The sequence below is a fragment of the Homo sapiens genome, chromosome 9, assembly GCF_000001405.40.
Source record: "Homo sapiens chromosome 9, GRCh38.p14 Primary Assembly".
NCBI classification, from domain to species: domain Eukaryota; kingdom Metazoa; phylum Chordata; class Mammalia; order Primates; family Hominidae; genus Homo; species Homo sapiens.
In genome coordinates, this window is record NC_000009.12 from 114,908,594 (window position 1) to 114,931,882 (window position 23,289).

The 23,289-nt window shown below is 42.4% G+C and overlaps 1 protein-coding gene across 2 annotated transcripts in view, besides 1 other annotated feature; it reads right to left on the reverse strand.

Annotated features, from left to right (window-relative positions):
- Positions 1 to 22,002, reverse strand: part of TNFSF8 (TNF superfamily member 8) — a 37,253-nt gene extending 15,251 nt beyond the window's left edge. The window contains exons 1-2 of one of the 2 annotated variants that reach the window (NM_001252290.1): positions 21,516 to 22,002; positions 9,503 to 9,545 (exon numbers count right to left, since the gene is read on the reverse strand). In NM_001252290.1, the coding sequence (NP_001239219.1) occupies positions 9,503 to 9,545; positions 21,516 to 21,710 (238 nt within the window). In that variant the 5' untranslated portion in view covers positions 21,711 to 22,002. The remainder of the gene's footprint in view (positions 1 to 9,502; positions 9,546 to 21,515) is intronic. The other variant, NM_001244.4, reaches the window with a different exon arrangement.
- Positions 21,092 to 21,651: an enhancer, noted in NCBI's record as "H3K4me1 hESC enhancer chr9:117691965-117692524 (GRCh37/hg19 assembly coordinates)". NCBI's record gives its function as "activates a minimal SCP1, AML or CMV promoter by ChIP-STARR-seq in primed H9 embryonic stem cells {active_cell/tissue: H9 hESC(primed)}" and the evidence as "EXISTENCE:reporter gene assay evidence [ECO:0000049][PMID:30033119]".
- Positions 22,003 to 23,289: the final 1,287 nt, after the last annotated feature.

The window sequence follows — 23,289 nt, forward strand, 5'->3', positions numbered from 1 at the left end:
TTTTTCCCCTTTGGGTTGACCTCAGTTGTAATTCTGAGAAACCCGAGGATGGAAAAAAAAAACACCTTATTTTGAAACATTTGCATTTCCTGAAGTCAAATGGCATGGTATATTTTAGTTTTTCTTTAAAAATCATTTAGATGGTTTCTAGCTAAAGGGAAAAACACAGGCAGCCCTTTTAGGAATGATGTTGCCAGAGCTGGTTCAGAAAGGGGCTAAAAGCAGGACACTAGAGGAGCTATTGAGGGAATGGGCTGTTAAACTTGGAGAAGACCCCAGAGAAGGGCACAGCCTCTGTCCTTTAATGCTTGATGAGGCTGTCGGCACACCGTGGGGCCCAAGCACTAAACCTCCAAGTGGAAGAGGAAGGAGATGAAGCCCTCAGCTAAGAGCTAACACTGCTCTAATCCCCATTTCTCAGATGCAGCAATGGAAAGACGTACACTAAAAACACCTATGTCACACTGTGAGTCACAGTGCTGGCAGCTCACAGAGTTGACCAGTCAGTGCTGCTCAAAAAAGAGGTGGGCTGCTTTGGAGGTCATGAGGCTCTTATCAAGAGCTAGATGAACATTTCATGGGTCATCAGCCGTGTGGCCTGAGTCTTCTCATCACCCTGTGAGTCTATGATATAACTTTCTTTTTTGGTTAGGAAGACAGAAAAACGTGACTTATAAATAGTGGCATTACATGCAGCTGAAATTCTGCAATGTCCCTGGAATTCTGAAGGCTGGGAGCAGAGGGAGCAAAAAGTGATGCCTGGAGAGGTTTAGTTTGAAGAACAGAGCATCAGAGTGGGGGAAGTGAGAACTGTCTGCAAGTCACGGCTGAGTTGATGACCTGGGAGTTAGAATCCTGGGATTTCTCCTCTCTGGGCTCTAGTGTCCCTATTAGGTTTGTGCAAAAGTAATTGTGGTTTTGGCATTAAAAGCAATAACAAAAACTGCAATTACTTCTGCACCAACATAATAGATGAAGAGCAGTGTGGATTTGATGATCTGTCTTAAAGGGCCTACCTAGCTTATTTCAGCAGGCTGTATAGACTCAGCCATCCCCTATCAGACCTGCTGGTGGTGGGGGTGGGAAGGTTTGGGATGGGGAGTCGGTCCCAGCTGCACCTGTCTATCTTTATGGGCATGTTGCATTACCCAAGGTAGGAGACTGTGTCTTCACACATTCAGGTTTTCAGACACCTGCAGTAGTAGAACAGAATATTTTAGCTCTGAGGACAATCTAAGTTATGAATAGTCTGGTTCTGTAAGGATTTGCATAGTTTGGAGAAATGAAAGTTCCCTGAGATGGCCTGGTTCAGGCTTGGTGAACACATAACCCATGTGCTCCTCAATGTTGCCCCTATGGCAGGCTGATCCTAGGTCATCCAGAGAGTTAGTGAGAGAGACAGGACCAGAGACCAGGGCTCCTTACTCTTTCTGTAGGGCAGTCTATCTTTCAGACAACCCTAGCACTGCCTGAACTTCCCTGAGGACCAAAGCTTTCAGATGCATCAGCTTTGTAAATCATCTTTCCAAGCTTTAGCCTCTTCTAGAAGGATCATGGGACTTTCTGTGGTTTTGTTTGAGAGGCTGAAGAGAAAGATGTGCCAACAAAACCCTCCTGGCCAGTTTCACACAGAGGAGAGAGATAGAAAGAGAGGTTGCTCGAGGTGGTGAAAGGAGCATATTCTAGAAGGTCAAGATTATGGAAACCTTAAGACTAGCTCTCACCTTGAGATTTCACAATATTAGACAGAAAGGGTCACTAAATGCCATGCTAACAGAGATCCTAGTTTTAGGAGTGGCGAGACTACCCAGAGAGACTAGGGTCTGGCCCAAGACTCCACAGTAGGTAAATGGTGGAGCTGGGTTCAGAACACAGGGCTTCTGACTTCTAATCCAGGGCTCTTCTCTGACTTTCAGTATTCCTGTGGAATAGGAAGGGTTAAATGCAGGAAGAAGTGGGTTTGCAGCCACTACAGACACTGGAACTGAAAACTGACAAGACAGCTGGAGGTGCTGGGAAAACAAGCACTAATGAGCTCCTGGGTTCCATCTTGTGGGAGAATGCCAGCAGATGACTTCAGGCCCATGTGCTGAACACTGCCAAGTTACAAGTCATGGGCACATAAAGATGCAAATATGCTCAAGGCGGCTCTACCATGGCAAAACAGACCAAGCCAACCATCCCGGCCAGATGGTATGTGGTTTGAGTGCCAGGTACCTTCCAGATGTACAGCACCTTTGATATAAGAACAAGGAAGACACGATGCATCGCAAAAAGAGCACCTGAATTCTGGTCATAGCTTTTAGCTCTGGATCTGTCATTTCCCCTTACTGAGCCTCAGCTGCCACATCCATTAAGTGAGAATTAAAACAATCAACCTAAATGTATGGATGTCATGAAGATGCAATGAGACCGTGGATGTCAAGTGATCAGTGTGGCCTGTGGCTAGAGGAGACACTCAGTAAAGTAGATTCTTTCTGCCTTACTCCTCTTTTCTTTGTTGTTATAGTGGCACAGTTTAGCAATGCCACTTAGCAGAGTGAATTGGCAGATGAAATGCTCATTAAAATGAAGCTCATGACATTATTTGATGGACGGGAGCTTCTCAATTAAGTACCTAAGTGTTTAAGGCTATCTGATGCTTCCAGGAATGTGTGCTGAATCCTCTTTACATTTGTTGAAAAATGTTTTAATCCTTCCAAGAAGGAAAGGGATTATCCTAATGACTCTGCATCTGCCATGCCCTGGCTTCTTCATTCCAGGCTTCAGGGACAATATCCAGGAGAGTCCCAACAGTGACATCTAGAGGACAGTCTCTCCCCTCTGGATAAAATTTGGATTCAAAGTGAGTCCTTAACCTGAGCAAGGGTCATTTCAACTATTAGGTTGGTGCAAAAGTAATTGAGGCTTTTGACCAATTCCTTGATATCACTAAGCCAACTAGTAATAGAGAGATAAACTGCAGGATGGACCATTTGTTAAACAAAGGACCACTAGGTGACCCTGATTTCCAAAAGGATTTGGAGAATGCCCATATGAACACACTTAGTGCTGACTGAGCACATAGGAAGTGATCAGTAAATATAAATTAAGGTCAAGTTGGAATTCCTTTAAATAATTTAAATCCTGCCTCCCCCCGCCCCCTGCCCCACCTACTTTCCTTGGGATGTTAAGGTCTTTTCAGTCCTGACTTGTTGCAGTGTATCTGCAACAGTTAGTAAACCTGTCTGACACTATGGGCATTTCCTTGGAATTCATTTATACTAAACACAGGTTGAATTGACATTACTGTGGGTAAGTAAGAAGCATCTTTAAAGTCTATAATTTAAAAGGAAAGGTGAGTCTGGAGACATAGGGTAAATTTTGCTAACATTCTAATAACCTTAATAAAAAAACACTCCCTACCTGTTCAAAATGCAAAAGTATGGCAGCAATTTTAGAAAGTTCGTTTTGGGTTCAAATCAATTTTAGAAAGTTAGACAGACTTATGTTCAAATTCCACGTCTGCCATTACTAGCTGTGTGGCTTTGCAAAAATCATGCAGCCTCTTTGAATTGTCCTGTTTTCTTCTTAAAAGTGAGAATAATAAAATAACTGTCATGGAGAGTTGTAGAGAGGATTAAATGAGATAATGCATAAAAATGAGCCTGGTGTCTACCACCCAAACTATACCAAACAGTGGTTGAGTCCTGTGCCCTAGTCCATGGTTTGTGCTGCTTGAAATGTAGAAACTTAAGCCAACACATGTTGTGTCTAGATAGTTTGAATGAAATACATAACAAAACAATTTCAAGGAATGGGCCTGCTTTCTCTCCCTTACCCTCCCTCACTCTGTTGCCAGGCTGGAGTGCAGTAGTGCGATCTTGGCTCACTGCAATCTCCGCCTCTGGGGTTCAAGCGATTCTCCTGCCTCAGCCTCTTGAGTAGCTGGGACTACAGGCGTGTGCCACCATGCCCAGCTAATTTTTGTATTTTTTTTTGAAGACAGGGTTTCACCATGTTGGCCAGAATGGTCTCGATCTCTTGACCTTGTGATCCACCCGCCTCAGCCTCCCAAAGTGCACGTTGCCTCTTGACTGCTTCCAGTGTGGTGTTCCGCTAGGGCGGCTGTCATCTGATTGTGACCATGGGACATGAGGGATAGTTGGGTCTTAGTGAGAACCTAGTCTTGGATTAATGTCACTGCCTTCAAGGTGCAGCTTTTATTGTTTCTTTGGGGTGGGTTCATTTGGTAAAATTAGAGAGCCAACCTCACTTCGTCTTCTTTAATGCCATTTTCTTTTTAGCAAGTGGAGGGGCAAGGAGGGTAGCTGCCACGCCTTATAAAATTGCAAATGTTAGAATGTTAAAGTGGTCAAAGAATCCTAAGATATTTGTTTGATTCATAGAACGCTATAATCAAAGCAAAATCCATCTCAGGGTTAGGACATCTGGCTTGTTCCCCTCACTTCTGATATTTTAGAAAACAGGAAACCCAAGACCCTGAGAGGGAAAGTGAATTGCTTCAAGTCCCAAGACTTGAATGTCAGCATTCCAAATTCCTGGGCCAGTCCTCTGCATTTCATACCCCAACTTTGGCTACAGACTGAATTCAGGCGAGGGTGGAGTTGTCAGGACCCACACGAGGTCTATCCACTGTTCCAACTTCCTTAGGGCCTCCAGGAACCTTTGGGTGTTGGAGGCTACATTACATTTGTAGGAAAGACAAATCTGTCTTAACTGGTAGGCAGTGGGGAAGGAATTGTCCCAAGGCACATGACCCTTCAGCTGCAAAGCCAGAGCTGAAATTCAGCCTCTAGAACCCTCGCCATGGACCATGTTTCCCCTCAGCACTTCACCTCATTCAAACCCATGCGTGTGGCCCTCTGTGACCCTGAGCTTGGTAACAGAGAGTGCACTTCTGAGACATGAAAGCCAAGAGCTGGGGGCCGCAGGTGCCGAAGAAGTGATAGAGCTGATAGAGCCCTGGAAGGGGATATGTAGACTTGGCCAGCAGGTAGGGGCACTGGAAGGATTTGCGGTACTGAGTTTTCCCAGATGGTCTACAATACAATCCCAGCTAAGCACAAGGGCTGCAAGGTGGATACGCTGGATTTGAGGTCTCACCCCTCCTAACCAGCTCTGAAATTTTAGGCAAGGCAACAAGCCTGTCTGTGCTCCAGTTTCCTTACCTATAAAATGGGGCTAATTATGATTCCTGGGGGCTTACTGTGAGAACTGCATGAGTGAATTACTAAGTACTCAGCCAATTCTTGGCACATAGTGATGCCTGTCAACGTTCATTATTCTCACTCTGCCGTGGCCTCATACGGATGCAATGAGGGAGTACAAGAAAGAACACTGACTACAGAATTCTTCTAGTGCAGGTAAGAGCTATCATTTGGTGGGGTGATTTGTTATAAAAAGGGCCAGGGTATATTGAGAAGGCCCAGAGGTGAGATCAAAGGACCAGAATCATTCTGCAAATCAAAGTCAGAACAATTTGAATTTCTGCAGAGTTTATGAGGGAAGTGGAAAGTGGAGGGGAAATGGGAGAAGGACATTAAGACAGGAAGGAGAGTGAGTCAGTTCAGGTGTCAGAGGGCTGAACCCCAGGGAGGATAGCTGTCCCTTGAGAAATTCCCAGTGGCTGGAATAGCTGAGGTCTTGCAAGAACAGAGGGACCTAATATTCAATTCTGTGTCATCTGCTGGGCTGCACTGGGATGTGCTACACTGCCCTACCAGCTTCTCTGCATACCCCAAATCCTTCTGTAGATGTCGCTATTCATAAATGTGGGTTACTATTCAAACTTGGAAATCAAGGCAAAAGTGGCTGTCTTCTCTGATTTGGGCAAATAAGCCAGAAACCATGTGCAGACATGAGATTCAAAATTTGGTGGAAGCAGAAAAGTGAAACAAGGAGTGATGAGGAGAAGGATGAGCTTCACTCTCTTTACAACATTCTCCTTGGTTCCGTGACATTTGTGAAATGAGATGGGAACATTTTATCTGGATATGAAAGAACAGAGTGGATCCTATGCCCAAAGGACATAGGTTCAACCAGGTATCAGATGAGGGTCCAATTGCTGTCCCATTTCATCCTCATGGTGGCTTCATGCAAAAATCATTATTAACTCTGTCTTCTGGGTGAGAAAACTAAAACCCAGAAAGGAGAAGGGTGTGGGGGAAAGGTTCTCCTCCCAGGCGCTCTTCCTGGCTTACTGCCTGTGAGGTGTCAGTTGGCTGGGGGCTATCCTGGCCAGGAATGGGAAGCTTGTGATAGGACTCAGAAATCCTTTCATTACCCAAAAGGGTTTGATTTTTGGTGTTTCCTCTGTAGCGAAGTGTATCCTGTGTTTTTTCTTTAGCATGTGCACATAGCTCTACATCCCAGGCTCTGAGCCACTGCTGATTTTCTGCTGATGGTGGAAGATTTTCAACAGCCAGTGAAAAAGGGCTCCCTAGAAGGTGTCTAGCTTCTGCCCTTTTCCTTTCTAGTGACAAACCACATGCTGCCCCTGAAGCTTCCTCCCAAGAGTACCTGAAAGATGGTTCCCCTCTGCCTGGAATGTCTTGCAATGGCTTTTTTCAAAAGGGACAATTTACTGCTTCTGTGCCTGTTTAAGCTGGGTTCGTTGGGGAAGGAAGCTGTGACTTCAGATTTCCTTGAGATTTTTGTTAGGTTTTTTTTCTTCTATTTTTACATATTGTACAAAAGAATTATAGTCTCATAAAGGGTCAAAGCTGGAGAGACTCCTCCAGGGCATTTAGTACATTGCTGTTATATTACAGATGAGGCTCAGAGAGGAGAAAAGACTTGTTGATGTGGTCAGTTCTGGAGCCCAGGAATATTTTTTCTACCTCACCCTACTACAGTGTCTCTGCAGATTGCTGAATTAAGGGGATGTTGACTTGCATTAAAAGCAAGAGAAAGTCAGGTACTGCCTCCAGCAGGTCACTGGCATCTCATGGTGGAAGCCGGTCATGCAGGGAGAAGAGGGAGGAGCCCCGGATTCTCACTTGGCCATTAACTCCTTGTATGACCTTGGGCAAATCACCTGGCTTCTTTAGGCCTCAGCGCATCATCTGCAAAATGGGAAGACTATTCCCCATGTTGCTGTGGCTTGCTCACAGGGTTGAGGTGAGAATGAACCCAAAGGAGGTATGGGAAGGTCTTTAACAAAAGTTTCACAGTCCCATGGGGATTATTGAGTTGGTGCAAAAGTAATCATGGTTTTTGCCATTGAACATAACGGCAAAAGCTGCAATGTCTTTTACACCAACCGAATATTATTAGCATTTAAAAAAATCTGGTTGTGGAAACATTGAATTGTAAACTGAGGTTGGTTTTGATTACTTTGTGTTCTGATATTCCCATTCATGGTCCAGATAAGAAGAAATGTGATAAGTGATTTCGTCCATGGTTGTGAAAAGTTTGGACTTTATAGACCCAGGAAATTTCTCCCCAGAATGAAAATTCAGAGACCAATATGAAGTGGACAGCTTTTTATTTTGCCTATTGTGATGATTAAAACAAAACAAAATAACTCTGGCAAAAAACAAGCCAACTTAACTCCTGTCTATATCAACTTCATGTTGTAAAAAAAGGACATTTTGACACACAAAAATGAAGGACCGTCTCAGAGGAAGAGTGCCTCTTACATTAGATATAGTTGGCCCTGTGAAAAGGGGGCTACCGTGTCCTTATTTTTTGTACTTCACTTTGGACTGATGAAAACTTTATCAACTTTATTATGGTACCAGAATACTAGTTAGAGCCCCTATGCTTGGCGACTTTGCATTGAAGTGCTCTTTAGGCGAGGAAACTGAGATCCAGAATGGCTAAGGTCTTATTACCTAATCAAAACTATCCTCGTCACTGAGACCGTGTTCATGTTAAAAATCCCTTCTCCCTGTCAAAAAATGAAAAGTTTCCATCTTCCTTGGAAAGTCTGGGTGGAGGTGGTGGTGGAACAGTGGGAGTGGGGAGGGGCAAGTTATATTCACTCAGAGCCTTTTGGTTTTTCCAAAGCTCCGTGTGAACGTGCATTACATGTTTAACTGAAACATCTGTCTCCAAAGCCTGCAGTGACTCCTCCAATTCATAAGCCAAATCCAGCCCACCACCTCATTTGATAAATAACGTTTTATGGAAATGCAACCGTGGTTACTTATTTGCGTGTAGTCAGCCTGGCTCAGCACTACAACAGCAGAGCTGACTAATTGCAACAGAGACATAGTGACCCCCAAAGCCTAAACGTTTACTATCTGGCCCTTCGTAGAAAAAGTTTGCTTACCCCTGCATTCTACTATGCTCCTTTTAATATTAATGTGACTGTTTACATAGACATGGTAGGAACTGAGGTCACATGCTAAGTAATTCCAGCCAAAATGAGATATTGTTGACAAGGCTATGATTATTAGTCTGCCTTGAAAGATCCAGAATCCCTGTCTTTTGGGGACTTTTGCCCCTATTTTTGAAGTCTCTGGGTGATAAACCACAGGAAAGGCATGGGCAAGGGAAACTTGAAGGACACTCCAAGTGTGATGCTGTGAGTGTGAGGAGCTGTGTCCAGTCATCTGTGTCCTCTGGTCTCAAGGACACTCTTGTGCCACTACCCTGGTGCCTACATTAACTCACTTCCTTACTTTTTGCTCTGAGCTTTCTGGCTATCCAGCTGTGTTTGCCATCTAGGTTCTAAAGGTTACAGGACTGAGATGGGAGTTGGTGTTCTTGGGCAGAAAAGACACTGTATCAGAGATGAGGACATCTTTCTGGGTTCTAGGCTTGGCTTTGTATGACCTTGGACGAGATACTTCACTTTCCCTCTCTGGGTCTTCCTTTTCCTTCTCTGAGCAATAAAAACATTAATCAGGTCATCTGAAAATTTCTCATCATCGATGTTAACTGAACTCGGCATATCATCTCTCTGAGGCTAGTAGAGACGACGTGTTAATTAGTGACTTCAATGATTGGAAATATAGGAGTGAGGAGGAAGTCTGTTTTCACAAGTCCTTGACTTCATTATGCATTTTAGCTATTACTAGTTATTTAATGATTACTATGTGCTGGTTGCCATGCCAAGCAATTTACAGATGAGATCTGAATGGCTTCTCCAATACCTTGATGAGGTGAGTATTATTATTATTCCCATTTAACAGATGAGGAGTTGAGGCTCCCCAGTGGGAAGTCAAGCCAAGATTCATTCCCCCATTTATCTGATTTCAGGTTTCAAGCATTTAACACAACACTGCCTTGCAGTCCTGCCTATGCCAGAGGTAGAATTTTCATTAGTGGGAGTGTCAAGAGCTGGTGGGAGACTTGTGGGGATGAGTTCAGGAGCTGCTAAGATGAATTCAGGTGCATCAGCTCAGTCCTGAACAGCCCTTGCCTCCACCCCTACCCACTTTACTGTTGGGTCATGTCATAGAGTTGTTTCTGGTTGATAATCAGGTTTCACACTTTATGGCATTTATCTAGATGACTTACTACACATTTACACCTAATTCCAAGATCTTACCTCCTTTGAGGGGGACGTTGTCAGGTGAGTTGGGAATGGAGTCCTGGAAGAAAAGAAAGAAAAAAGCAGCATGAGGTGTGACATTCAGTTGAAACAACTTTTTTTTTTCTTTTTCATTTTGTTGTCCTTAAAGTACTGTGCAATTTACAATTCATCCTCCACCTGAATTTTAAAAATTAATTCACTGATGTAGTTTCCAATGGGCTTTCTATCCATTTGTTTGACAATCTATTAGAAATGCAAGATGAGGATTACTGTCCCCGTTCCACAGGCAAGAGACACGGGGTTGAGTGAGATAAAATGACTTGCCTAGGGCCACATAGTTAATTTATAGAAGATCAGGGACCAGAGCTGGGACTTTTTTTTTTTTTTTAGACAAAGTTTTACTCTGTCACCCATGCTGGAGTGCAGTGGTATGATCATGGGTCACTGCAGCTTCATCCTCCTGAGTTCAAGCGATCCTCTTGCCTCAGCTTCCTGAGTAGCTGGGAGTACAGGTGCACACCACTACACTCAGCTAATTAAAAAAAGGAGTCTTGCTCTGTTGCCAGGCTGGAGTGCAGTGGCACTATCTTGGCTCACTGCAACCTCCGCCTCCCAGTTCAGGTGATTCTCCTGCCTCAGTCTCCAGAGTAGCTGGGACTACAGGCACCCACCACCACACCCAGCTAAGTTTTGTATTTTTAGTAGACACAGGGTTTCACCATATTGGCCAGGTTGGTCTCGAACTCCTGACCTTGTGGTCCACCCGCCTCAGCCTCCCAAAGTGCTGGGATTACAGGTGTGAGCTATCACACTCGGCTAGAGCCAGGACTCAACTCCCAATCTGGTGCTTTTCCCCCCTCCATATGTTTGGGTGTTTTTTTCTTTTTTTTTCCTTCTGGTCAACATGAGAATAATCAAGTATATCATAAAAGTAGATGTGTTTTTTTTTTTTCCATGTTTGATTCATCTGTGAACGTATGTTGTAAACATACCTGGGAAGGTACATCTCTATGTCTCCTGTGGTTGGAAATTCTGAATTAATTGTGTGTTTATATGCCAAGCATTGTGAGGACACCATACATAATTAAATTGGGTCCCCATCCTTATGGATTTATTACAAGTTTATATTTAAATATACAAATATGTATACACATGTAGTATACATACAAATGCATATTATATATTTAAACATTTACATAGTATATTATTTATTCTGTAATAAATATATACATAAATATTTACACAAATAAGAGGTTGATAGAAACAGATTGTCTTTTGAAGGAGGGAATCCTGGGCTGGGGATTGAAGGTGACTAAAGGGAGGTTCTAGTTCAAGGACTCTCAACAAGGAGTTAACAGAAGCAGAGAGGCACAGTTCTTTTCCCCTAATAAATTCTTCAGACACTAAGTTTCACACCCTGATTGTCCCTCCCCTTTCTCTCCAGCCATGGAGACACCCATACAATATTCTGCCAATAAGGAATGAAGTATTTTATTCATCTTTTGACCTGCCCAGGTTGGAATCTCCTGTATTGCATTGAATTAAAATATTAGTAAAGACCTAGAGAGGTGTGAGCGTGTGTATGCGAAAAAACCAACTTCCTAACCTCTACCAAAGCAAGAAATTAGCAGCCGCCCACAGCTTATTTTCTTAGTGTTCTGTATGAACACTAGGACCATCTGGAGTTCCCCTATTATTGTAACATTTCCCTGGGAGGTCTGTCATTTGCCTTCCGCTGAAAGCTTGTTTTCTTATGAATGGATCTCTTCTCTAGTGCAAGAGGTTGGTAGTGAGTCAAGGAGGTCTCCTGAAGGCAAAGCCCTGGCACAGCACCAATCTGGAGATGGGGGAAGTCAGCTTAAACATTTGGGCCCTACCTTCTCAGGGGAAGGGAGGCAAACTTGTCCTGGAAGGCCCTTCCTACTGTAACAGTCTACGACTTTGTTGCCTTAGTTGAAAGCTTTTAACCTAACAAAGCTAAGTTTTTGTAGTCTTTCAGTTATGCATGCAGTTTGCAGGAAAACTTGATATCACAAAATTCCCCTTTATGTTGCCCTTGTGAGACAACACACAACATTTTAAAATTTAATAAACAACTTACAACTTACTGCCAAGCGTGACCATTGATTAGCATGATGTGCAAATGCACTAAGAAAAATATCTGCATTGAAATGTCTTACCACAATCATCAAATTCATCAAGCTGCCCAGGGACATATACAGGGACAGTGAGAGAGGCTAGAATAGCAAACCTGGTACAGCCATCATTGCAGAGGCTGCTAGCAGTTCGGGAAGTCCTAGAGAATCATTCATGCAGCACACCTTGAATGAGCACCTGGTCTGTGGTAGGAACTACGTTAGTCACTAAAAGACATCCTATGGATTTTATGCTTTAGTCATTAAGGCAGCCATTTAAAAAATATAAATAAATGTGTAATTAGAATTGCAGGTTGTGGCAAGAGCTATGGAGGAAAAGAATCATAGTGCTTTAAGGTAGTGCTGTTAGAACTTCAATGTGCATATGAATCACCTGGGAGTCTCGTTAAAATGCAAATTCTGATTCTGCAGATTTGGGGGGAGTTTAACATTCTGCATTTTTTTCTTTTTGAGATGGAGCCTCACTCTGTCACCCAGGCTGGAGTGCAGTGGCGCAATCTCGGCTCACTGTAGCCTCCATCTCCTGGATTCGAGCAATTCCTCTACCTCAGCCTCCCCAGTAGCTGGGACTACAGGGGCCCACCACCACCCCCGGCTAATTTTTGTATTTTTAGTAGAGACGGGATTTCGCCATGTTGACCAGGCTGGTCTTGAACTCCTGACCTCTTGTGATCTGCCCGCCTGGGCCTCCCAAAGTGCTGGGATTACAAGCGTGAGCCACCGCACCTGGCCAACATTCTGTATTTCTGGCAGCTTTCGAGTAATACTGACACTCCTGGCCCACAGAACACTTTGAATAGCACAGCTGTGAGAAGTAATATCAGAGAGGAGGACCTAATTTATATGGGGGTCAAGGAAAGCCTCTTTTCTCTCTGTCACTTGAATGCATTCTGGTTTCCTAATTTCAGACATGGGATGTCAAAAGCAGAGCATCTCAAACAGGAAAGAAACCTGTCATTTAAACCTTCACCCAGGGCCCAGGAAGTCCATGACAGAAGCGTGACTATTCCTATTTTGAAGAGCTCTTGGGATGAGGTCTTTACAGCTTCTCCTAGCTACCCATGGTAGTCAAGATTAGACAATCAAAGCCAGAGGGAGATTGAGACATCTTTCAGTCCATCAAGCTAATTTTATGGAGGAGGAAACCAAGGCACTCATGAGTCAGAGGCAGATCTTGGACTGAAATTCTCTGGTGTACTTTCCACTGCCCTAGGAGAGATGCTGTTTCCAGAAACAAAGGATAGAAGAGCTCATTCCTCCCTCCTCCCCTCTCCCATAAGCAGTCCCTGCATTTGGAGGTGGAGAAGCAATGTCTAAGGAGATGATGGCTGTTGAAATTCAGTGAAGACTGTTCATAAACAGGTATTACACTAAGTGTTGTTCACCAACTCCTCTTTGGCAAGATGTCCCCCAGTCCTAGAATTCTCTCCCTAATCTTGTCTGGGGATCTGGGTCCTAGCTCAGGAAATGTGAACTATCTTGCTCAATGACTTGGCTTTGTGTAAGGTAGTGCCTAGGCTGAATGCAGGCACAAACAAATGGACTCTCCCAGGTTTTCATTCTCAGCTCCACTGAGTAGCTCAGGAAACTTTGTCTCCGTGGTTATCAACGAGGTATACTTCCTTAAGTGTACTTCCTCTGTTTTTGGCCTCTGTAGATGTCTGATGAGTATTCCCAACAGTAATAAAGTTATTTTCATGTATGGAGGGAGGAATGGTCATGTTTAACCTGTTTGTCTCCAGGTAAAATGACCCCCATCCCAACCATCTTCCTTGCCTTGGAGTGTTTTCTTCTCCTTTAATCAGTGGTTAGATGGCTAATCATCCATCTTTCCACTGGGTTATTGTGGACATCATAAGATATTATAAAGTGTTAGCAAGTATTTGAAAAGCATAGCTATTTTGAGCACTGCCTTGGTGTTAATGATGTGCTTAATTTGCCTCAATACCTTGAAAGGCTTGTTTCTTTTCACAGAGGAATGATCAGCAGATGCAATGAGCTCCTGAATTTGCTTTGGACACAAAATGCCCCCGTGGACCAAAAATGATCAAAGGCAGCTCTGTTTGGAATATGCCAGGGGAAGTCCACATTCCTTTCCTTGTTGCCCTCACATAGTCTTGTAAGGTGGGCTCTGGCTCATGGCCCAAAGGGACTTTTGCCAAGGATACCTCTTATTTTCAAGCTAATTCATTGGGCACTTAATGAGGGTTACTCTACATGCACTATTTCATTTGGCCTTTAACTTGACCCCAAGAGTTACGGATTCATCAAGACTTAGAGAAGTGATTTCATAATGTGATAATGTTTATAGAAGGTCCCACAGGTGGCGAATAGCACAGAAGGGATTCAAACTTAGGTGTTTGACTTTGAAGGCACTGCTCTTCAATGTCCTGCTACATTGCCTCTCTAGATGAGGGCAGGATAAAGCTGAGCAGAAAAATCTCCTGAAATTTCATGGAAAAGTGAATAGAAGTCATAGAAAATCCTCAGGGGAAGACTATTTTTACTGGGAGCACATGGTCTGCCAAAGTGAGAAGTGGACCACAGTGGCTTAAAGCAGTGCTTCTCCCACTTTAAAAGACTGACCAGCATCGGGGGATTTTGGTAAAAGCAGATTCTGACTCAGTAGGGAGGGGCCCTTAGGTTTTGCATTTTTGATGAGCATCCAGGTGATGCCAATGTTGCCAGGCCATGGACCACACCTTGAGTAGCAAAGTCTTAAATACACTACTCAGTAGGCAATCAGAACACCTGAGGTCTTGAGAGATGGCTGTAGGAGGCTGAGTATAGATTTGGGCTCAGATATGGGCTTAGGAAATCTTTCTAGTTTGAAGATGGCAGTGATATCCTGTCCTCTCCGTCTCTTCTATCAAATCTTTTTATCATCTAGTTCCGTTTCTTCTCCTCTGTACAATCTGGACTGACTTCTGGCCCTACCATTCCTCTCCTCACACCTGGGCTTGCCTTCTTATGGGCTGTGCCACTGCTTTCTCTTTTGCCTCACCTGGAATATCCTGCTCCTCCTCCTCCTGCCACCATCTTTCCAATGGGGAGCTCTTCTCTACAGAAGAATGACAGCTAATAAATTTGGAAGGAGTGACAGACTTAGGCATTCCCTCTTTTTCAACCCTCAGTGCATTAGCTGATTCAGACAAGGATCATTAAGAAATGGCAAAACCACCAAGTGAAGAGTATTTATGTCTTCAGAGTATTATCCCATACATAGATTACTTTTCTTTCTTTTTCTTTCTTTCTTTCTTTCTTTCTTTCTTTCTTTCTTTCTTTCTTTTTTTTTTTTTGAGATGAAATCTCACTCTGTCACTCAGGCTGGAGTGCAGTGGTGCCATCTCTGTTCACTGCAACCTTGGCCTCCTGGGTTCAAGAGATTCTCCTGCCTCAGCCTCCCTAGTAGCTGGGACTACAGGTGTGTGCCACCACATCCGGCTAATTTTAGTATTTTTTGTAGAGACAGGATTTCGCCATGTTGGCCAGCCTGGTCTTGAAATCCTGGCCTCAAGTGATCCACACACCTTTGCCTCCCAAAGTGTTGGGATTACAGGCATGAGCCACTGCTCCTGGCCAGATTACTTGTTAATGAGAAAGAAAAAATGTTTTACAAAGGCGATAGTTGGTGGTCACCGCTTTAATCAAGTGACTAAACCTATAGTCAAAAAAAATGGGACAACCTGACATATGTCTCTAGCTGTGCTACAATAAGACGTATATAGAATTACCTATATACTATTCTTACTAAAAATGTTTCATCTGAGTATAACCATGAGTTAATACTAAGACAAATCCAGGCTATGAATGGATTTCTACAACAGAATTGGCCTGGACCCTTTAAAAAAAGGTCAATGTTATTTAAAACAAACACCAAAGGGCAAAGGAGATTTTAGCTCGGTGCTTCTCAAACTTTAATGTGCATACAGATCACCTGAGGAGCTTGTTAAAATGCAGATTCGGATTCAGGAGATCTGGGGTGAGCCCTGAGATTTTGAATTTCTAACAAGGCCCAGGACCACACTTTAAAAAGCAAAGTTCTAGATTAAAACAGATATTATCATAACACAGTATGTGACCCTAGATTGGTTCAAACAAACAAAAACACAACAGCCATACCTATAAGACATTTTTGAACAAGTAAAGAAATTAAAATATGGACCATATATTATTATTAGATGATATTATTGAATTAATATTAACTCTCTTGGCAATGATAATGGCATTGCAGTTAGTTAAGAGATGGGTACTGAAGTACATGTGAGTGAAAGGTCATGCTGCCTCCAGCTTACTTTCATATCCTTATATAGAGAGAGCAAAAATACAGCAAGATATTGACACAGCAATCTAGGTGCCAAGGTTATATTAGCATTTGCCATTCCACTTTTCTGTAGGTTTGAACATTTTCAAAATAAGACTTTGGGAATAAGCCATGACTGTTGTAATTCTTGGAAGCCTGGCTTTTGTTCTAGCTCTTCTACAAACTCCTCCTTCATCCCAAGCAGAAATGACTTCTCCTTTGCTCTGTGGCATTCTGTGCCATTCTGCCCGGAACCCAAGAACTTGGTGTTTGGGCTTCATCTGCTCAATTTAACAGAGTTCCCAGAAGACAGGGTCTTGCCCCTTCCACTGGGGACCTCCCCACATAACCTCACACAGGGCTCGCTCCTGGGAAGATTTACAGTGGATTTTTCTGGATTGCTAAATGGAATGAATGTCAGGTGGAGGGAGTACCTTGGGTAGTGGGAAGTGTCATGGGGCATTCCAAATAACTTCTTCTTGTGCCGAACTCCTATTAGCTCAACAGGGAAGGCACCATGTTCAAGAGGCTAAAGAAGAGGTGTAGAGTCAGCAAACAAGATGTGGGGTTTTATTGGGGGCTTACATACAGGGGAGAGAGTCCAGTGGCAGTGAGCTGAACAGGAAAACTGCTTTACGGACAGAAATGATCTCATGGCAGCAGGCTGGACAACATATTCACCTTATATACCGTCCAGTGGTGGTGGGTTGGGCAGGAAAACCACAACCACTTGCAAATAGCATGCAGTTTCTATAGCATGCTCACTTAACAGCCTCCCCTTAATGGCCTCCACCTGGCAGCCTTCATGTAACCAAAAACTCAGGCCTCAATCTCCTGTATGGCCCATGTTCCACGGGATGGGCTGGGGGCTCAGATGTTCCTCACAGACAAGGAATGAGTCTCCAGGTTGACCACTCCTGGACTCTCTAGCTTGGAACACCCATTCAGACGTGTCTGCCATATGTGGTTATTCTAAGGGTATGCTTCAGTTATTGCTATATCAGGTGTGTTTACCCTACACTTCTATTTTGTATCTGAGCTTAAAAATAAACCCAAAATACCACACCACCATCACCACCACCAATAATTACTCCCCTTAAACAGGTGCTCAGCTCCACTGTTGGTGTGGAGATAATTTAAAAAGAGTATTATTATTATTATTTTTAAAAAAAGAATTTTTTTTGCTTATAAAGGGAAAAGAGGCAGCTTCTTTCTTGAAAGCCTACCGATTGTGAACCCTATACTCCAACCTTTTGGAATGTAACCCTTTACATTCTCCCCTGGGGCTAGAGAAGCCCAGTCTCCTGGTTTACAAAACAAAGACGTCTCTAAGGTTGAGGGCTTCAGAGGCTTTTTGAAATGTAAACACCTACCTGTGGTGTTAACCTAGGAGTCTATCTCATTGTCTATCTCATTATGTATTCCCCTGTCTCTTGAGGAGATAAGAGAAGTTTTATTTTTTCTTCTTTTGCTTTGCTAGATTAATTGTGTGAAATTTCATCCTGACTTTGTAGTCTGTTGCAGGCTGCCTATTTGCATGTACAATTGTGCTTGCTCAACAGTAAATCATTTTTTTCTTTCCATATTGATGTAAAGAAGTGTCTGTTGGTAGGACTTTTAATTCCTCAGGGGTACACTAGTACAATCTCTTTGGAGACAGACTGACATTTATTGAAGCGAAAATGCACATTCCTCCTGGCTAACACGGTGAAACCCCGTCTCTACTAAAAATACAAAAAAATTAGCCAGGCGTGGTGGCGGGCACCTGTAGTTCCAGCTACTCGGGAGACTGAGGCAGGAGAATGGGGGGAATCCGGGAGGCGGAGCTTGCAGTGAGCAGAGATCGCGCCACTGCACTCCAGCCTGGGCGACAGAGCGAGACTGTCTCCAAAAAAAGAAAAAAAGAAAATGCACATTCCATTCCTATCACTAAAAATTTATTCCCCAGATATACTTGCAGACACGCACAGAGGGCACAAATTCTAGAGAAAACATTGATGTCTCTCACCAGGCACAGATAAATTATGAAGCATTTACACTTCGTACTATGCGACTCTTCAAAAGAATGAAATGAACTTCTATGTACTGACATGGAAGGATCTCTAAGATATACAGTGTGTTGTCAAGTGAATAAAGCAAGATGCAAAATTATGGGTTTATTATAATGACCCATGGGTTTATTATATATTATAATGTGTACTGTGTATTTGTAGATGCACAGATTTTTGGAAGGACACACAAGAATCTGTCAATGGTGGTTATCTCCGTGAAGAGGGATTAGTGGTTGGGTGGGGAAGGTGTGAAGATTTTTACTTTCTTTTCTCTTATTTGCTAGTTACTTTTCTTAAACCATGTAAGTATAGTATTTCCTAATATAAATATTATAAAATATATCAATATATTATAAAATATTAAATAACATAAAATATTATTTTATAATATAATATTTATAATATAAAATGTTTATTTTATAATATATTTATAACATAAAATGTTTATTTTATAATATATTTATAATATAAAATGTTTATTTTATAATATATTTATAATATAAAATGTTTATTTTATAATATAAAGTAATATTATTATATAAAATAGTATTTATTTTATAAATATGCTGGCTTAAATGTAAATAAAACAAAATACAACCACCACTGAGGCTTCAAAAATATCACAGGAAAGAAGTAAGTTCCATAGTAACTCAAAGACAGGGATTTTGTTGTTTTTTTTCAAGGCTTTAGAACAATGTCCTGCACACAGTAGATATTTAATAAATATTTGAGATAGAAACCTAAGTTCCTCCTTTGTCTCTCCCAAGGAGTTTAAGCTTGGAGTTATCTGATCTTCAAGTCAAACCTCAAGGCAAGCTTTGTTGATTTCCCTACACTTTCTCTGTCTTCTCTCCTCTGTCTCTTTGCTCATGCTGTTCCATTGGCTAGGAGTGCCTCTCCTCTGCTTTCCCTTCCCTGCCTGTTTGAAATTGTTCACATTTCTCAAGCCAACCTGAAACTAATCCCCAGGAGTTTTTCTTAAACCTGTCTGGAAAAATATATTCTCTCCTTAACTTGTGGTGTCATGGTATCCCTTTAATCACTCATTATATGTTATGACTTAGCTGTTTTAAATTTTGTCTATACACGTGCCTTGGGATAAGAATTGTGTGACTTCTTGTGCCAGTAAAACCATTCTTATGGTTCTCCACCCCTGTTCCCATCACATACAGAGTGCTAATTGACCATTAACTCATTCCATTTTTAATAATGGTGATGTGAGTCTAAGCTCCTTGGCTTTCTCCCATTGATTTCTTTCCTAGAGTTTCTTTTAGAGTCTCTTCACTTGTCTGAGTTCTTCCTGTTTTCAAGTCAGTCTACATTCCATCTTCCTATAGGAAACCCTTCCTGATAACTCAAGTTAATGGGAAAATGATGCTTTTTTTTTTCTTGTTAGGTCTTACAACAGTTAAGGTCTGAGGAATTTATTGAAAATGATATGTGCAATGCATTTGACACTTTATATACCACGGCTACTATTAACATGGCAAGCCTTAATTTTAAGGAAGCAACTGATATTTCCTGGTCTAAGAAATCACAGCACACCGCACTGTACAATCAGATTGCACAGTGAATCTTTTCATATCCAAACATGAGGGGTAAGTCAAGGAAGTGGATGCACAAGAAGATAAAGCTCCCAAGAGAAGAGTGGGTGCAATGTTTCTTAGTGCTTCTGTGGCTGTCTGTATTGGCAAAGGGGATGCTGCTTGCATCAAGCAATCAAGCAGTATTGGCTCTACCACTTTCTCAGGGTGACGTAGTTCAAGCCCTGTTCCCTCTCTGCTCCTCATTTTCCACATTTACAAAAATGAGGCAGAAAGATCTGCTCTGGTTCTTTTATAGAAGAAATCAATTCAACTAAAAGTTGGATATGAATGAGCTCTGAAGTTCTCTCTAGCTTTATATATCACCATCGCCACCCATTTTTCCACCATCTCTCTCTCTCTCTCAGCAGTTCTAGTTGGATCCTTTAACTAAAGAACTTCTTAAAGGACACTTCAATTTCTTTTCTTTGGCCATTGCTATAAAATGACATACCCTTGGTTCACTCCAAATTAGAATTACAGAAATTGCAGAGCCCCTGCAGAAGAAAAGATGTCCTAAAGTGTTTTCAAGATTATTATACTTAATAGATGTAGATAAGCCATTAAATTATGAGTTTTAAGAATTCCACTATCTAAATCAAATATTTGCAACTCCTTCTTTTCACTTTTGTAGAGATATGAGCTTCAAAGCTTCCATTTAATTTCAAAGCTTGATGACACTTGAGAAATAGATATCAAAGCCTTTTAAAGCCTAGTTCTTTCCAGCAATTGATAAGCTATAGAGTACTTGGCCTAAGAAAACTGAAGAAAAACCAGAATAAATTCAGCAGGATTATAATACCACGAAAAGTAGGCACTATGAAGTAAGAAACAGAAATATTCTCACTTTGGCAGGTCATGTGGGTGGGTGCAGCTCTTAAATTACCCATTAACAACTTCATCAAAAAATTCATGAGCAATATATGCTATTACTACAGCATTTTCTATATAATATATACTGGTAGATTCTCTGTAAACACCAATTTTCTAAAATATGAAGAAGCTTCCTCTTTCTCCTCCTCTTCTGTTTTCAGAAACAAATCTTACCATTTACTTCAAAGTAAATCTCCGAAGACAGTCTGACCCTGTACAGTGTGTACCCAACGATTGCTTAGTATTGTGAGGAACATCAGAGAGAACAGGTGCTAAAAACCTTTCAACTTTCTGCTTCTATGTGCTGTTTCTTTTTTTTTTTTTTTTGTGACGCCCTAACTTCTTCAAAGTTGTGGCTTAAGAGGAAGCTTTCGATTTGTCTTGCTGGCTTTAACACCAAAATGTCCAAAGCTCTAAGAAGCCATGGTCTTCTCTTTCGCCTCCTTTCCTTCTAGACCTTGGCCTCTGAAACTTAGCTCCTTGTATAAAACAAAAGCAAAAACAAAACTCTTGGCAATGGGTGAGGCCTCAGAAACCTCCAGGACACTCAGACTTAGGATATAGAACCTCAGAATCCAGTCTGAAGTCCTTGAAGACATGATAACAACTTGTGCAAATGTGTTATCAGGTTTCTCTATTGCTTCCTTCCTTGATATGGGTCTCTGGCTCATTAAGATTTAAATCTTAACTTTAAAAGGCCAATAGCTCCCCTCCACTGTTTTGCTCAGACAGATCTGCAAAGTTTTAAGATGATGGTCTAACAATATTTTTCTCAACAAGCCAAATTATTTTAGAGAGTTAAGTTCCTCTTTCTTTTCTCCCTTTCTCATATATATATATATATATAATATATACTGTATAATATAATATATATTATGTAACATAAGTGTATTACGTTATACAGTATATACTATAGTATATATATATATATAGAGAGAGAGAGTTTATTTATTTAATTTTATTTTGTGCTCTTAACCAACAAACGAATATCATTTGTTCCCAGGGCTCTTTCTCTCGGGAAAACAACAAGAAAAGGAAAGGGAGGAAGAGGAGTCCACTTACCGTCCTCTGAACGACCAACACCATAATAGTGGCCACCGTGAAGACAAGGCACAGAGCCAGAGTGGCTGTGGTCAAATAGAAATAGCTGCGGCTCGTGGTCCCCAGGTGGCTGGCCACGGAGCCCGCCGGCACATGCATGGCTGTGTCTCCAGGAGGGGCCATTCCGTTGAGTGCTTGCTGCAGCCCTGGGTCCATTCTTTATATAGTCTTCCCCACATCACACCTTATCTCTCTTCATCTGATTCAGTTCTGGGCCCATCTCTGTTCCAAGAAGGATTCTCCCCCTGAATCCTGAATCATGTGACTTGGAAAAAAACCTTCACCTGCTGCCTGGTGGAGAAACTCTTCTCTGGGGGCGTGAGGCGAGAGGCGGCAGCAAGGGTGGGGGAGAGGTTCATTTTTCATTGCCAGGGATTAAGTTGTGTGCAGAGAAACTAGCTACAGAGAAGGTGGCTGATGTCAGAGGGCGCGTAGGAAAATGACGGTTCCCCGACTGTGTGTGTGTATGTGTGTGTGTGTGTGTGTGTGTGTGCATGCGTGCGCACACACAAAGCAACTTCTGTTTCGTTTAGACTCTGCCACAAAACGCCTTCCTGTTCAAGAAGCTGCACCTTCTTTCAGCGAGGCCTGTGGCTCAGAAGACCTCCCCAGATAATGAGTCCTTGCTGGGTCTCAGGGAGGCCGGATCCCTCGGACTGCAGTGTAATAACTCCAAAGGGTTCGGTTTGATAGGCTACTGCTGAAAAAGGGACATGCTGCAGGTTCCCTGGGGGAAAAAGGGCACACAAATGGAGATATTTCTCCAAAGGGGGACTGGCTCATGGCAGTATGAAATTTGGGGTTCAAAGATACTGTCAGAAAGCAGGAATCTGGAAATATCAATCTTTTGAACAAACACTCCTGCAGAAGTTTTGGGATCTGTTAAACTGGCAGATGAACCTGGACCTGCCGTAAAACTCATGAAGAGGGGAAGGAATTGGCAGTGAGATGGTGTGGTGTGGAATATGGGGGCTGTGTGTGTTCTGCGTGGTGTACTATGTAGTGTGTGTGTATTTGTGGTATGGGGGTATGTGTAGGTGTTGTGTGTTCTCTATGGTATATGTATGCAGTGTGTGTGTGGTGTGCATTTGTGATCTGCAATGCATGCCGAGTGTGGTGCGTATGTAAGTGTTGTGTGTGGTGTGTATGTATGTGTTGTGTGTGGTGTGTTGTGTCTTGTGTATGTATGTGTTGTGTGTGTATGTGACTACTATAATTGAACCTCTACTGTCTCAGGCACAGCGCTAGGAGTTACATGTGGCTTCATTCCACTTCCACCTCCACCCTCCGAGGCAGGCAATGTTTATTTTTTACAGATGGGAAAACTGAGGCTCAGGGAGGATGAAAACTATCTCAACCTAAGTCGCAAGTGTCGATCACTGAAAGAACTTGGGTGCACTTTGCAGCCTGCCTGGCTGAAAGCTCGTGCTAAGTCATTCAATCTTCACTGCACCTGAAAGCTAAAACCTGAAGTGTGGTCTCAGCCCTTTCCCTTCTTAGCCTTGGGCCATCATACAAGTCTTTATGGCTTTCTCTGTTCCCAATCTGCATTACAGTCATCAGGAAGACCAAGCGAGATGATGTCAGAGTACTCCATGAATAAAAATAGATTTGGGGATGGTGTTGGACAATTCCTGTTAAACATCCCAAGCTGTCTACTGGGCTAAGTCTGGAATTTAGATACAATAGACAGATTACCTGGGGGACAGAGTCAGATCACATCTGTGGTTACTAA